General features: G+C 44.3%; 2 annotated features.

Moving 5' to 3' along the window:
- Positions 13,680-14,536: a transcriptional cis regulatory region, noted in NCBI's record as "candidate enhancer chr8.847 targeted for multiplex CRISPR interference". NCBI's record gives its function as "positively regulates SLC25A37 gene expression with high confidence in K562 cells {active_cell/tissue: K562}" and the evidence as "EXISTENCE:mutant phenotype evidence [ECO:0000015][PMID:30612741]".
- Positions 13,923-14,152: an enhancer, noted in NCBI's record as "active region_27118". NCBI's record gives its function as "activates an Ori minimal core promoter by ATAC-STARR-seq in GM12878 lymphoblastoid cells {active_cell/tissue: GM12878}" and the evidence as "EXISTENCE:reporter gene assay evidence [ECO:0000049][PMID:35858748]".

Below are 16,640 nucleotides of genomic sequence, written 5' to 3'. Positions count from 1 at the left end.
GTAATCCCAACACTTTGGGAAGCCGAGGTAGGCGGATCACGAGGTCAGGAGTTCAAGACCAGCCTGACTAACATGGTGAAACCCCATCTCTACTAAAAATACAGAAATTAGCCGGGCATGGTAGCATGCACCTGTAATCCCAGCGACTTAGGAGGATGAGGCAGGAGAATCGCTTGAACTCGGAAGGTGGAGGTTGCAGTGAGCTGAGATCGTGCCACTTCACTTCAGCCTAGACAACAGAGCAATACTCTGTCAAAAAAAAAAGAAAGAAAGAAAGAAGGAAGGAAGGAAGGAAAGAAAGAAAGAAAGAAAGAAAGAAAGAAAGAAAGAAAGAAAGAAAGAAAGAGAAAGAGAAAGAAAGAAAGAAAAAGAAAGGAAGGAAAGAAAGAAAAAGAAAGGAAGGAAGGAAGGAAGGAAGGAAGGAAGGAAGGAAGGAAGGAAGGAAGGAAGGAAGGTAGGTAGGTAGGTAGGTAGGTAGGTAGGTAGGTAGGTCTGGAGGCCAGCAGTCTGAGATGGAGGTGTCAGCAGGGCCATGCTCTCTCTGAAAGCTATCCTGGAGGACCCTCCCCTGCCAGTTCCCAGCTTCTGGTCCCTCCTTGGCTTGTAGACGCATCACTCTGACCCCTGCTCTGTTGCCATGTGGCACCCTCCCTGTGTGTCTCTGTGCCTGTCCAACTCCTCTCTTCTTATAAAGATACCTGTCATATTGGATTCAGGGCCCATCCTAATCCAGTATGACCTTGTCTTAAATTGATTACATCTGCAAAGACTGTATTTATAAGTAAGGTCACATTCACAGGTTCTGGGTGTACATGAATTGGGTGGGAGGGACAGACACTATTCAACTCAGTCCAGTGAGGCAAGAGCACCAAGAGGCCTGCGTTCCTGTCCTAACATTCCTTTTTCTCGTTCCTTCATCTGTGAAATGATTATCTGGATTGGACTCACTGGTATGCAGACCCCTCCAGCTCTGTCCTTCTAATCTTTCTTCACAATCACCAACTCCTTCTTTTTTTCTTTTTTATTAACACGGAGTCTCACTCTGTTACCCAGCACAGTGGGGTGATCTCAGCTCACTGTAATCTCCGCCTCCCAGGTTCCAGCAATTATCCTGCCTCAGCCTCTCGAGTAGCTGGGATTACAGGCACCCGCCACCACTCCCGGCTAATTTTGGGGTTTTTTTCGTGTTTTTTTTTTTGCGGGGGGACGGGTTTGACACAAAGTCTCACTCTGTCACCCAGGCTGGAGTGCAGCGGCATGATCTCGGCTCACTGCAACCTCTGCCTCCCGGGTTCAAGCGATTCTCATGCCTCAGCCTCCCGAGGAGCTAGGATTACAGGCGCCCGCCACCACGCCCGGCTAAATTTTGTATTTTGGTAGAGATGGGGTTTCACCATGTTGGCCAGGCTGGTCTCAAACTCCTGATCTCAGGTGATCCACCTGCCTCGGCCTCCCCAAGTGCTGAGATTACAGGCGTGAGCCACCGCACCTGGCCTAGTTTTTGTATTTTTAGTAGAGATGGGGGTTTCACCATATTGGCCAGGCGGGTCTCAAACTCCTGACCTCGAGTGGTCCGCCTGGGATTACAGGCGTGAACCACTGCGCCTGGCCACCAACTCTTTCTAATGCCATTTTTTCCCCTTGCATTTACCTCCTTTTTACCAACCTGCAGCCAAGCATAGAGTCATCTCTCTCTTTTTTTGACTCTTAGATCCTATTAGCCACATCTGGATCCAGCCTCTGAGATAGCATCATCTATAGCTATAGTGACTCTGTAATTTATCATCCAAACTGGGACACTTTTTGAGAATGGAAAGGGTCACTGTTAACAATTCCACCAGGACAGAGGGTATAAGCTGAGACTATCCTGGGAAAACCAGGACATAGAGTCACCTAATTATAGCCAGACCTTGCTTGTCACCCCCAAAACCATGTCCCTCAACCTATGGCCCTTGTCTCTTCTTATATCCTCTTGGAAGGGAAGACTCTCCACATCTCCACTGTTGAAATGATGCTCAACATTCATTTCTCAACTCAGACACCTCACCTTCCATGAAGTCTTCTCTGACCCCTAAAAAGTAGGAGGAACCCTGGAGCTCTTCCCTGCCTCTTCCACAGCTCTTACTTAGAACCTTGCACTTTATATTGCAGCTCTGGAAGCCATGTCTTAGCCCTCCCATTACACTCTAAGTTCCTTGAATACACACAATGAATAAACAGTACATATTATTAAATGAGTCAGAATTTCTTTGGAAAAGAGCTTCATCTTCCTATATAACAGCATGAAATATTGCAGACGTCCATGATTCCCAGGGAGTTAAAGAACATGTTGCACCTCAGAGCTGGAGATTCTGAGCACAGGTTGTGTAGAAGAGAGAAAAAGGTGACTTTTTTTTTCTTCCAAAGTATATGTCACAAACACTAAATTAGAGAGCTACCTTTCTTTTCTTTTCTTTTCTTTTTTTTTTTTTTTTTTTTTTTTTTTTTTTGAGATGGAGTCTTGCTCTGTCACTCAGGCTGGAGTGCAATGGTGTGATCTCGGCTTACTGCAAACTTCGCCTCCCAGGTTCAAGTGATTCTCCACCCCAGCCTCCCGAGTAGCTGGGATTACAGGCACGCATCACCATATCTGGCTAATTTTTGTATTTTTAGTACAGGTGGGGTTTCACCAAGTTGGCCAAGCTGGTCTCAAACTCCTGACCTCAGATGATCCACCTGCCTCAGCCTCCCAAAGTGCTGGGATTACAGGCGTGAGCCACCGCGCCCGGCCAGGGGACTACCTTTCTTAGGACAACATGGAGTTACTAAGCTGGGGACCTGGAAGAGAACTAGAGTATGATATAGTCTATAAGTCCTTTCTTACAGGTGGACAAAAGAGATCCAAGGTAAAGTAACGTGTCCAAGGACACAAAAGTGGTTGGTGGCAGAGCTGGGATAAAACCCCAGGTGTGTCATTCAATACCCGTTCACTTACTCACCTTTGAAATAAACTCAGAGCCTGATAAAACTCCTTTATTGCTATCATTTGTCATATCTCAGATGCCTGCTCTGTAAAAATCAATAGTCATCAATTCTCCACTCTGGTCAGGTTCACCTGACACAGCACATTAGCACATGGCCACATTTGCACAGTTTTGTACTGAGCTCTATGCACAGTGAATAAGAGAGTTCACTGACCACGATCCTTCAGGTAGCAAAGTCTCTGTATTTCCCTGCCTCAAATAGACTACTGAGCAGAGAAGATGCCCCTCTGTAGGAGGATGGAGATGATGTCGCATAAAAATAACAAGCATGTGCTTTGGAGACAGATCAGGACTGAGTAAAACCCACTGCTTCCAAGAGTTGCCCTTGGGAGAAGCAGCTCGTTTGCAGTTAGAAGCACCAACCACTGTGGTTTTCCATTTGCGTTCCACGTGTTTTCTCTGTCCACAGCATCTAATTATGCCTTGCTGGTCTCTCCTGACTTTAGTCATATGTGTTTCTCAAGTCTGGACCTCTGTTTCAGCTGCTGTTGGGGGGCAATTGCAGAGTGATTGTGAATTTGCAGGAGAAAGATGTGCAAAGGGTGCCAGGTTGCCACCTACCAAAGCGGGGGGGGGCAAAGTTAGCACCGAGAGTCTCTCAGGTGGGAGAGAAGGGTTAACCAAGGATCTCCACTTGGTGGCCTGTGGAGACAGGCCTTCAGAAACATTGGGTAGCAGAGAGGAACCCTGGGAGTGGCCTCAGAGAGCAGCCAGATCTTCCCTCTCCTCTCAGGCTCCCAGGCTGAACACTTCAGCTACTGTGTTGGTAGATGGAGCCCCAGTATCTGAGACTCCCAATGTGGCTGTGCGAGAATGGGCTGGATGGCACCTTTTCCCTACATCAAAGCTCCAGGCTATGGGGAAATTCAGCCACATACACACTGTGAAGTTCTTAATTCTGCTTTATTAATTTCCAGAGTCCTCCTTGATGTAATAAACACACCCTTCTCAATTGAGCCCAAATGTGGTAATTCATAAAATTTGTCTATGTAGCAAGATGCTACGTAGCAGTTTTCCCCAAGAAATCTGCCTACTCAGGACAGATTTTCAAGAATCAGGACATTTGGTGTACATAATCAGAAAGAGTATTTTTAGTCCAGTTTTTAAAACTAACCAGCTCTGATGCAACCAGTTTAGAAAACGGTCTGGCAATATCTAGTAAAGCTGCATATACACATGACTTATGACTCAGCAGTTCGACTCCTAATATATACCCCAGGAACACCTACTTTGTGCACCAAAAGACGTTCACAAAAATGCTCACATCAGCACAATTCACAACAGTCCCAAGCTGGAAACAACCCAACTGTTCATCAGTAGCAGGATGGATAAATAAATGGTGGTATGTTCACACAATGCAATGTGACACAGCAACAGAAAGGAATGATTCTCAACTTTGAACAACATGGTTCAATATGACAAACGCAATGTGGAGCAAAAGAAGCCAGACACAAAATAGTAGACAATATGATTCATTTAACATACAGTTCAAGAACAAAAAAGGCTAATTGATAGTGTTAGAAACCAGCATAGTCATTACCCTTGTGGCCGCAGGGAAGTGTGAGAGACCTCCTGGGAATCTGGTTGTGTTCTGGGTTTTTTTATTCGGTGTGTTTACTTCATGGAAATTCATTGAACTGGACACTTACGATTTCTACACTTTTTATAACATATATGTTATAAGTCAATATATAACTATAAATGTAGAAATATTTATATATTCTGGAGAAAAAATATAGTAAATATTTGTTTAATTGATTGAGGAGGAAGCAGAGAATAGCAGGAAAGTTTGAAGTTTACAGGAAAGGTAAACTTTGAAGTCAGAACTCCTGACTTACCACCTGCTACCTAGCTGCATGTCCTTGGAAAAATTACTTACCATCTCTGAGTCTGGTTCTCAATTATAAAATGAACACAAAGAATTCCTACATTGCAGAATTAAATGACAAATTACAGAAGGCACCTGATATATATTAATGCTATTATACATATATAGGCTACTGCTATATGTATAACATATAATACATATAATAGTGATATATATATGCCAAACTGTCAATTTCCCCTTAGTGTTTGGCTAATATTTGTCAGCATTTACTGTAGCCATAGACAGTCGCCAAGGCTGGAGTGCAATGGCACGATCTCGGCTCACTGCAACTTCTGCCTCCCGGGCTCAGGCAATTCTCCTTCCTCAGCCTCCCGAGTAGCTGGAATTACAGGCACCCACCACCACGCCTGGCTAATTTTTGTATTTTTAGTAGAGATGGGGTTTCACCATTTTGGTCAGGCTGATCTCGAACTCCTGACCTCAGGTGATCCACCCTCGGCCTCCCCAAGTGCTGGGATTACAGGCATGAGCCACCATGCCTGGTCTGCCATAGAGATTTTTCATAGCATGTTTATGTTCACCAAAGATCTGTCTCTTAATCAGCAGTTAATTCTGCTTTTTAAGTGTCCTCTGGCCAGGCGCAGTGGCTCACACCTGGAAACAACCCAACTGTTCATCAGTAGCAGAATGGATAAATAAAATCCCAGCACTTTGGGAGGCCAAAGTGAGCAGATCAACTGAGGTCTGGTGTTCAAGACCAGCCTGGCCAACATGGTGAAACCCCATCTCTACTAAAATTACAAAAATTAGCCAGGCATGGTGGCGGGCGTCTGTAATCCCAGCTACTCAGGGAGGCTGAGGCACAAGAATCACTTGAACCCTGGAGGTGGAGGTTGCAGTGAGCTGCAATCACACCACTGCACTCCAGCCTGGGCAACAAAAGGGAGACTCTGTCTCAAAAAAAAAAAAAAAAAAAAATTGTCCTTTTTTTTTTTTTTCCAAAAATCAAAATCTATTTGATAAATGCAAGTATATAAAATCAGGACATGAACATGATTTGCTCAGTTTAATGAACTTAATTTTAAGATATAGATCAATTCAAATTCCCATCAATTGTGTCACATCCATAAAACTTACTTTAAGGGCATTAGCAGGCTCTCAAAATTGATCAATTTGGCACAAATAAACTATGTTTCTCTTAAAAGGCTTGTGCACTCACCCAGGCACAAGGGTGTTACAGTCGAGCACATTTACACAGGTAGAAACACAGAGTGCCTTCTTGTAGCTTTGCTGTATTCCCCTCTGTCCTTCTGTCACTGTCCTAGGAGAGCAGTGAACTCCCTTAGTTTCAGTGTCTCTCCATTCCTGGAAGTTGGTGGCCAAGTCATCCTAAAAAATAGCAACTTGATAACTTTCCAGCACTTTCAGATATCTTATCTCCCTTCCTTCTTAGGGCTGTTATTAAGGAGTAAGCTGGAGAAATGCAGGCCGTGTAATTTTATGATACTTGGGTCCATTTGTTGCTGCACCCCAGGAGGGTTGATTAATGGTGACAATATCAGCAGGAAGGGGGTGGGACAAAGGACTCTGTCCTTGACTTAGGTTCAACTCAACTATTTTTTTTTTAATCAACTACTAGAAAAAGTCCTGGGATGCAGATTTATCAACCTCTTAGAAGACAAAGCTAGGGGGAGTCACTTCTTAGAATGTTAAAATTCAATTTTTTTTTTTTTTTTTTTGAGACAGAGTTTCGCTCTTGTTGCCCAGGCTGCATGCAGTGGCACCATCTCGGCTCACCGCAACCTCCACCTTCAGAGTTCAAGCGATTCTCCCGCCTCAGCCTCCCAAGTAGCTGGGATTACAGACATCTGCCACCATGCTCGGCTAATTTTGTATTTTTAGTAAGACGAAGTTTCTCCGTGTTGGTCAGACTGCTCTTGAATTCCCAACCTCAGGTGATCCACCTGTCTCGGCCTCTCAAGGAGCTGGGATTACAGATGTGAGCCCTTGCGCCTGGCCTCAAAATTATTTTTAAAATCTTTAAAAGTATAAAATTTTACCCTTAAATCCTAAACATTAGGGAATTACTGGACGAGACTCAGCACTCCTAAGCAGATAAAACTTCACATGGCATTGTCCTCGCCCCCCAAGCTTGGCACAAACTCCAGCTCCTAGAACAATTTTCCCTGGCTCTCTTCACCTGGATGGTTGCTACTCGTCCTTCCAGTCCCCATTTAGATGTCACCTCCTCTGGGAAGACATGCTGACCTCACAGGTTTGCTTCTAGTTGCTCAAGCCGAAAACCCTGGAGTCATTCTTAAGTCCTTGTCTTTCACACAGAAAATTCCATCAGTCAAGAATCATGCCAGCTCTACCTCCAAAGTGTTCCTTTCCAATATACAGTATAGCTGTATATAGTCTTTTTAAGTGTCTAACTGGATTATTTATGGTTTTATTTATTGTGCTTATTTGTTGGTGTTTATTAACTGTTTCCCCCCAAAAAATGTGTCTCAAGAGAGACAGAACTTCAGTCTGTTTACGGATACTTTCCAGAATCTACAGAGGTTTGTAAGACATGGTAGAAACCTAAAAAGTATTTATTTTTTATAAATGAGCAGATAAATGTTCGGTACTCCTGTATCACTCTGAATTCTCTCATCATAAGATTTTGTATCCTGTCATGTAATTGACAGAGGTTTGTTTCTACATAAAAACCTGTCTTTTGGCCAGGTGTGGTGGCTCACACCTGTAATCCCAGCACTTTGGGAGGCCAAGGTGGGTGGATCACCTGAGGTCGGGAGTTTGAGACCAGCCTGACCAACATGGAGAAACCTCGTCTCTATTAAAAATACAAAATTAGCCACGCATGGTGGCACATGCCTGTAATCCCAGCTACTCAGGAGGCTCAGGCAAGAGAATCGCTTGAACCCAGGAGGCAGAGGTTGCAGTGAGCCGAGATCACACCATTGTACTCCAGCCTGGGCAACAAGAGCGAAACTCCATCTCAAACAAACAAACAAACAAACAAACAAAAACTATCTTTTCATTACACCTTTGCCCATGAATAAATTCCAGTTGTCACGTAATGGTTTGACCATTTCACTAGACTACAAACCACAAAGAGCCCATAGCCGGTCAGCCTGGCTGACTGCCGTACCCCCAACACCTTGGGGCAGTGCTCTGTAGAGAGACATAGCACATGCATTAAGTGCCAGGCACTCATCTGTGTTTTACAGGCACTAATTCATTTAACCCTCACAACTACTCAATGAGGTGGGTACTACTGCTATCTCTACTTTATAGATAAAGAAATTGAGGCCCTGAAAATTTAGGAAATGTATACAGTGGCACACAGCAAGAGATGGATCTTGGATTCTGACCTAGGAAATCTGGCTCCAGAGCTCAAGTTCTAAACTACTACGCTGAAGTGCCTCATCTTCTCAGGACACTTAATAAAAATTGTTTAATAAATAAATCCATGAAATATGGCTGCCAAAAAGAGGAGAATGTGTTCTTAAGCTGCATTAATAAAGTGTCAAGATAAGAGAGGCTGTTATAAGCCACATACATAATTTTAAATTTTCTAGTAGTCACCTTAAAAAATGTAACAGGAAACTGGTGAAATTAATGTTAATAATATATTGTATTTATCCCAATTTCTCCAGCGTAGGGTACAGGTCAGCTCAGTTTACGATGACTCGTTTTCAAAAAGACATCAGTCCACTGAAGTGGGTCTGAAGACTTAAACCACAAAGGCAATGAGTCTGCAATTTATGAATAGTTAGTGAAACTTCTCAGCCTTTGAAGAGTTGGGGTGGGAATTCAGGATCTCCCTTCAAATCCAGGGATTCCTGTGGGAAGAGGACTCATCTGGTGCAGTGGGGCCTGAGGGCAGAGCTGAGGGGTGAGAGTTAAGTCCTAGAAGGGCAGATTTCAGTTCCCTATAAGAAGGAACTAGTAGTTAGAAATACTAAAAATTTCAAAACCCAAGGGCCTCGCAACAGATGAATGGATAAACGCAATGTGCTCTATACATACAATGAAATTTTATTCAGCCTTAAAAAGCAATGAAATTCTGACATATGTTACAACATGGATGAACGTTGAAAACATGATGCTAAGTGAAATAAGCCAGTCACAAAAGGACAATATGTGATTGCACTCACATGAGGTACCTAAAAGAGTCACATTCATAGAGACAGAAAACAGAGTAGGGGTGACCAGGGGCTGGGAGAGTGGGAGAATGGGGAGTTAGTGCTAATGGGTGCAGAGTTTTAGTCTGGGGAGATGAAAATGTTCTAAAGATGGTGGTGGTGATGGTTGCACAGCAACATGAAGGTACTTAATGCCGGTTGATTGTACATTTAAGAATGGTTAGAGGCTGGGTGCTGTGGCTCACGCCTGTAATCCCAGCACGTTAGGAGGCTGAGGCAGGTGGATCAAAAGGTCAGGAGTTTGAGACAAGCCTAACCAACATGGTGAAACCCTGTCTCTACTAAAAATACAAAAATTAGCCGGGCCTGGGGTGTGTGCCTGCAATTCCAGCTACTCAGGAGGCTGAGGCCGGAGAATCACTTGAACCCAGGAGACGGAGGTTGCAGTGAGCTGAGATCGAGCCACTGCAGCACTCCAGCCTGGGCAACAGAGTGAGACTCCATCTCAAAAAAAAAGAAAAAAAGAATCGTTAGAATGGTAAACTTTATGTTGCGTGTCGTTTACCACAATAAATAATGGAAAAATTAAATTTTTAACCCATTTATGCCTGAGGTTATGCAATTTTTGGAATTTTTGCAGACCTTGGTGATGACCTTGAGCAGTAGGATATAAATAACTCCCACATGCTTAGCGTTGCAATTACGGAACTCTAGGCTTAAATGGGTTAATAAAAAAATCAGCAAACAAATAAGGCTCTGCCCTGTGAGACAATGGCAGCGAATGAGCTGAGGCAGAGGTTAAAGAAAATATAGGGACATTCTTGAATTTGGGTGGGAGTTAGACAGGTTGGCCCTTCAGGTCCTTTTTAATTTTTGAGTTTTTAGTTGTCTGTTTTGAACATTTGTTGAGCACTCAGTATGTCGTAACTATGTTAAGTATGAAGTATATCACTGACTTTCTACCACTCCCCGAGTCATCACTATCATAGTCCTCATTTTACCTACAAGGAAACCCAGGCTTAGAGTTCTCAAGCAATTTGCTCAAGGCCTGCCACATTCTAAATGTAAGAAAGAAGGGCAGAAACTCCAGAGACAGCACCAAGCTACAGGGCATGGATTTCACTGATGGGGAAACCGAGAGGGTTCCGTGACTCACACAAGACCATGCAGAGCCGGCATCAGGGCTCAGGTCCTTCCTGCTGTCAGGGGCTCCTCAATGACTCTACGCTCCCTCCCCACTCTTTCCTCCTCTGCTTGGGGCATCAAATGCTTTGTGGGCATCCTATTTGGTCACAGAAGGCTCTAACTGTCCTCAGGAAGGCACATGCCCAGCCTCAGAGAACATTACTGGGCCAGGATGTCTCATGAGAGACATAAAGACTGGGCCAATGTTGGCGGCACCATCACTGTCCTTTCAGAGCCCAATTTCCTGATTAACAAGTAAGTTACCTTGTTATTTTCATCACAATTTCCCATGTCAAAACCTCAGCGCTCCCTCATTTAAAAGGCAGTTGTAAATGATGATTTGAGAACACAAGCGCTTCCATAAACCCAGTGCCCATTTTAATTTCAGGAGCACCGTGCTTTGTGTTTGATATGGTCTGTTGGTGCTTTGAAGCAGAGTCTAGACAGTAGAAATAGAAGTCAAGCTACATTATGTAATATTACACTTTCTAGTAGCCACCTTAAAAAATGTAAAAGGAAAAAGGTGAAATTAATGTTAATAATATATTTTATTTAACCCAATTTATCCAAAATAATTACTGATGAGATTTTTGCATTCTTCTTTCATGCTATCTTTGAAGTCAGTACATATTTTATATATAGTTACATCACATCTCAATTCAGCCTAGCCATATTTCCAGTGATTAACAGCTACATGGAGCCAGTGACTACCATATTAAACAGCGCAGGTCTAGGCTCTTTTTTTTTTTTTTTTTTTTTTTTTTTGAGACAGGGTCTCACTCTGTTGCCCAGGCTGGAGTGCAGACTGGTGCAATGATGACTCACTGCAGCCTCCACCTCCTGGACTTAAACAATCCTCCCACCTCAGCCTCCCAGGTAGCTGGGACTACAGGCATGTGCTACCACTCCCGGCTAATTTTTTTTTTTTTTTTTTTTTTTTTTGTATTTTTAGTACAGACGAGGTTTCACCACATTGCTCAGGCTGGTCTCAAACTCCTGGGCTCAAGCAATCTGCCACCTCGACCTCCCAAAGTGCTAGGATTACACTATGCCCAGCTTAGGCACTTTTTTCTAGGAGTTTGATGCTGAAGTATAAAAGAGAAATAAGGGAGTTACATCTAGTGAAAATTTTACTTAGAATGAGATGCTGATCATACATGTCACCTATGGGGCATAGAGAGGGGAGGGACTAAAGATAGAAAAGAAAGGAAATAAATAATGGTGCCTTCTCCAGGAAGATGCTTGACTGGGGTGGATGGGGGTGGGAGGAGTACAGAAGGTGTGCTATCAAGGGCCAAGACAAGGGCAAGCTTTGGAGCCAGCGCTGATCAAGTTCTTCTACAAGAAACTCAACCTCTATAGAAACTCTTCTATAAGAGGACTCAAAATCATTTTACTCTTTTTATAGGATTTCTAGTTTTCACCCTTATTTCCTTCTCTCCACCCTGTTGTCCCTCATTTATCCAATTGCCATCATTGCGATATCACAACAAAAGAGCTAGGACTCATGTCACCTACAAACCCATCCCAGGTGCCACTGCTCGACTATGGGACTTGCGGCAAATCAGCTTCCTTCTATGGCTCCAGCTCTCCTTAGTAAAATGAGATGGTCCAACTATTCAGGTACTCATTCATTCATTCAGTTAGTCAGTCAATAAGTCATTCTGTAAGTATTAAGCACTTAATAAGCACCCCACGAGGTTTGAGCTGCTCTCTGATTGTCACCTCCCTCTGATTCTGCTTTGTGTTCCTTGTGACTCCTGGGTAACCCTCGCTCTGCTGCCACGTGCTGGATCTCCCAGGCTGAAATTTTCTGTTCCCAAACCAAACAAGAGGCTCCTCAGGCAGCCCAGATAGTCCCTGCTAGTGACCAAGAAAGGGAGGAGAAGGTATTAGTCCATTCTTTCACTGCTATAAAGATACTACCTGAGACTGGGTAATTTAGAAAGAAAAGAGGTTTAATGGACTCACAGTTCCGCATGGCTGGGGAGGCCTCAGGAAACGTACAATCATGGCGTAAGGGGAAGCAGGCATGTCTTACAGGGCAGCAGGCGAGAGAGCGTGTGTGTGAAGCGAAGGGGGAAGAGTCCCTTATAAAACCATCAGATCGCATGAGAACTCCCTCACTATCATGAGAACAGCATGGGGAAATTGCCCCCATGATCCAATCACCTCCCACCAGGTCTCTCCCTCAACACCTGGGGATTACAATTCAAGATGAGATTTGGGTGGGGACACAGAGCCTAACCATACCAGAGAGGGAATGATCACCGACAGGATGGGCCACAGCTGTGCCCACTGCACTTTTCTACTCAGGAATTTTCTCAGTACAGTGGCCTCCTTAGCTTCCATTTGGAGGTTTCGGCCAATACCCATCAGAGCTCTTTGAACTATACACCAGAGCACTGGGAGCATAGGAGAGAAGAAGGCAAACACAACAAAAATCCCCAATCCGGTCTTCGTTCCTCAAAGCCTGATTTATAACTGCTATCAGTTAGTACTTAGGGGGCCATGGGGTGGTGCCTCTCTCAACCCTGGCAATGAGGGAAATTTGGCTTTCCTCTGACGGTCAAAGCTGAGAGTTTGCATAGAGTACATCGGAGCTGCATAGCCACCTCAAAGAGAGAGGAGGATACTCAGGCGCATGAAGTCTGACTGATAATGGATTGCAAGTAGCAATGCTTCATTAGAGAAGGAAATAAAAATGGGTACGTGAAAAAGAGTCTTGAAGTCTGGGAGTAAAAGGAGAGTCACACCTAGAGACTTCAGCAGTGCCTGTCCCCACAGAGATCGGAAAGGACACAGCCCTAGCAAGGCCCAGAGGTCCCATCTGCTGACAGCCTCCTGGAGCTGGGACACACAGGGCTTGTGAGCACAGGTGGCATGCCAGTATCCTGTGGCCTTTGGTTGGACAGGTGTGTAATGCCCTACTGTTTATACTGATGCTGCGAAACGCCTGATTTATCTAGTTTTCCCTGAGTGTGGCTTTGTGCTCATCAGGTAACCATCTAGGCCACGCTTTGGTTTCTACAATGCTTTCCCTTTAGAGAGGGAATGTGTCCAGGCTCTGGAGCCCGGTTATTTATTCCTCACTGTAAATTCACGAACAGGTTGGAACTCTAGTTCCGTACATTAATCTTCAGAGTTTGATAAATATGAACCAGGCCCTGAGAGATCAAAGTACTCTCAGGGCACCAACAAAAGCAGAGTTCTGAGTCTGTTTGGTCCACACCCTGCACAATGTGTGGGCAGTCACCAAAGGCCACCCATGCTACCCAGCAGGAAGCGGCCCTGCCTCAGTGGCTGCACCCCCAGAGCGGCTTATTTATTGGAGAAATGTTATCTGAACACTTTGTGTTGGAGGGCACTGAGCTGAGTTTTGGGAATTGCTTTTTTGGTGCCTCTGGTTTTGCTTTCTACTGTAACTTTTAGAGAAATTAAAATAACAGTGCTTTCCTTCCTCTTCTCAAGCCAAAAGATGACCTTTGAAAAAAGTAAATACGTGCAGGATGAAGGCAACCTCTGTGGTCCTGTTCTACCCCCACCTGCGGTTTTGCGGCCAAGGAGTTTGACTTTAATGAGTGGTTTCCCCTGACAGGGCGGTTCTTAAAATTCAGCTCTATCTTTGCTCCATGTTACCTGGACATAAGAGCAAGAGAGGGCCTCAAAGGCTCTGACTCCACGGAAGCCTCTGGAGGCAGGCAAGGACAAGCTGCAAGGCAGGTGGGAGAATCAGGTACACGGCCACCCAAGAGGCAAGTCCTCCCTGAGGGGCCAGCTGTTATGGAGTAACAGGAATCCAGCCGGTTTTGGAGTTTCTATCTTTGAGTCCATTTCTGTTTTGTGAGTGTTGTGCAGCTGATCCTGTTGTGAAAACGACCTTCGGGGGACAGTAGGAGGAAGCGCTGATCTGTTCATCATTTGCTCACATACCATATTTAACCCTCCTGGGGGCTCCTCCCAGGAGAGCTCAGCTATATTTATCTCCCACTGACTTGCCAGGTCCTTTCTGGTTGATTAGAGAGAGGGCGGGTTCAGTCCTATATCGGAAACCATCTGCTCTCAGGCCAGAGCCGCATGTACGGAGCGAGATCTCTCAGAGAGGTGGTGGGTATGGTAGGATAAGCTGGGAGTGACCTGTCCCCAGCACACACCCTCATTAGAACCCAGGGGAACCGAGGCTCTTAAAGGGCCAATATGAGGTATGTTTGTTTCTCCAGCTTGCTTTGATTGTTCAAAACATTGTCTGGTATGATTTTGGCTTATAGGACATTAAACTAATTATCATACACTGTAAACAATCGAGGACATGGCATTGTCCAGTGGCTACTAATAGGATATGCTCTTTTTATGTTCTCTAGGAGACGTTTCATCAACGATAGCTATGCTGCATAGATCATTTAGAAGCCAGCACTTCCAGGTGTTGCTGAAATAAAGCAGGACTAGCTTAAGAGTCACTTGATGCTAAAATACAGATTCCCAGGGACCACTCCCAGAGATTCTGATTCTGTAGGTCTAAGGTAGGACCCAGGAATTCGCATTTTTAGCAACTCTCTTCACCACTACCAACATCTCCCTTACGCGCATACGCACACCAGGTGATTCTGAGGTGCAGTATCAGGGGACCCCACTTTGAGAAAGTCTGTAGAGAGAGTACCAGGCTTATGATCTGCAGGCTTGGATTTGGGAATAGCTGTGTGATCTTAAATAAATTCCTCCACCTCTCTGGGCCGCCATTTCTGTGTCTAGAAAATGAGGGAACTGAACCTTAAGGCCCTTTCCAGGACCAATATTCCAGGAGTTCAAGCACATTCTGAATGCCCTCGCAATGGGTGTTCCAAATCTCCTATGGTGGAAGTCAAGCACCAGAATGAACTATACCCCAAAGAGGATGGTCACCTGACTCCCCCATTCAGGATTAGGCCTTTTAGGGGAGACAAGGCTATACTCTGATCTCACACAACCCCCTGCTGACTCTAAGTACTTCCTCGAGCACAGTCATTTATTTCTGCCTTCCTGCAGAGCAAAGGGTGAAACTTGCCTTATTGAAGGGACATTGAGGCACAGAGTGATGGAAAAGCTCAGAGACATGGACAGCTCATCTCTCCCGAACTCCTGTGCTTCGTCCTCGAGTCTCCTGCATAACATTGACTCATGAGGAGCTGTCATCTGTCAGAATGAATGGCGGACCCTGGAGGAGACCTATAAACAGGCCAACCCCTTTTTCTTTACTATTTTGCTCTGAGCTTTTGTTGCATGTACCTGCCATAGGAGCAATTTGCCCAGGCCCTGCACTCTTGAGAAGGAAAGCTCTCCTTCTTAAAGGAATTTGGAATCTTCATCCTTTGTGTTTTTATTACATCTGATCATCATCCCCTCCCAGTGAAGTGATAACATCTAATAAGCCATAACTTCCTGGACTCAGAGGCTTGGAACTCAGTTGTGAATCACCACCCATGATGTTACTGCCTGGTTATCGCAGTATGAAGTGACATACAAATAAGAAAAGTCCTTATTTGTGAGACTTGAGCTTTGCAGCCCAGTTTTACATTCTCCCTTCCCTCCCCCTTCAGATTTTGCAAAGAATAGGTCTATGATGACAGCCTCAGCTCTGCACACACCTCCCTGGGCTCCTACCTTCTCAGCTGCATAGAGTTGTGACTTTCAGGGGTTATTAATAATCACCTGATCTGTCTTGGGGAATTCTTGTATAAAATCACAAAATCTTATAGAAGATACTGTATGACTCCAGTTTCTGTTTCAATATAGCGCTATTCTCACATTTCATCTATTGGCATCTAATTTCTTTAACAAGAGCCTTGGGGTCATGGCACAACTTTTGACCTTAGAGAGATCACAGTTTAGCAAGGAATGAAGCTGTTCTTTCCTCTCTACCCTCTACTGCCTCCCAAACTTGAAGCCAGCACTTCAGAACACCACTGAAAATCAGAAAGCAGTAAAACAAACAAACAAAAAGGGCTGGGAAACAGCCAAAATAGATTTCGTAAAGTCTGTGTGTTCTTTGATCTTAGGGAATCCTCTGGTATGAGCTGTCATGCTGATTATTGTATAAACAAACCCAAAAAGTTAATTTCTAAACCCACGGTGAATTGGAAGAAAAAAATGGTGCTTGAAGGCAGATACTGACAGTATAAATACATGACAGCCTTCAGAAATGGCAAGGCTGAGAAGGCTAGAACTAGATGCTCTGTGTTCAGAGGCAGGAAAGTAGGTAAAATATTCTAGAAATTATTACAACGTAAAAATTTTAAAGAATTTAAAAGGATAAACCCTCAGCTATCTAAGAAGACACATTTCCAGAAAGTAGCTATGCTTAACTGGAGTTAAATATTTATTGTCAGTGAGTCAAATCCTTGGAGTATGCTGGTTAATAGAACATCAGTGAAAAGTGGAAGAGCCATTTACTTAAACCCCGTGAGCAGCCTTGGC

The sequence above is a fragment of the Homo sapiens genome, chromosome 8 (genome assembly GCF_000001405.40).
Source record: "Homo sapiens chromosome 8, GRCh38.p14 Primary Assembly".
NCBI lineage: Eukaryota > Metazoa > Chordata > Mammalia > Primates > Hominidae > Homo > Homo sapiens.
The sequence above is the reverse complement of the archived record's forward strand: the minus strand, read 5'-3'. Positions and strand labels throughout refer to the sequence as shown.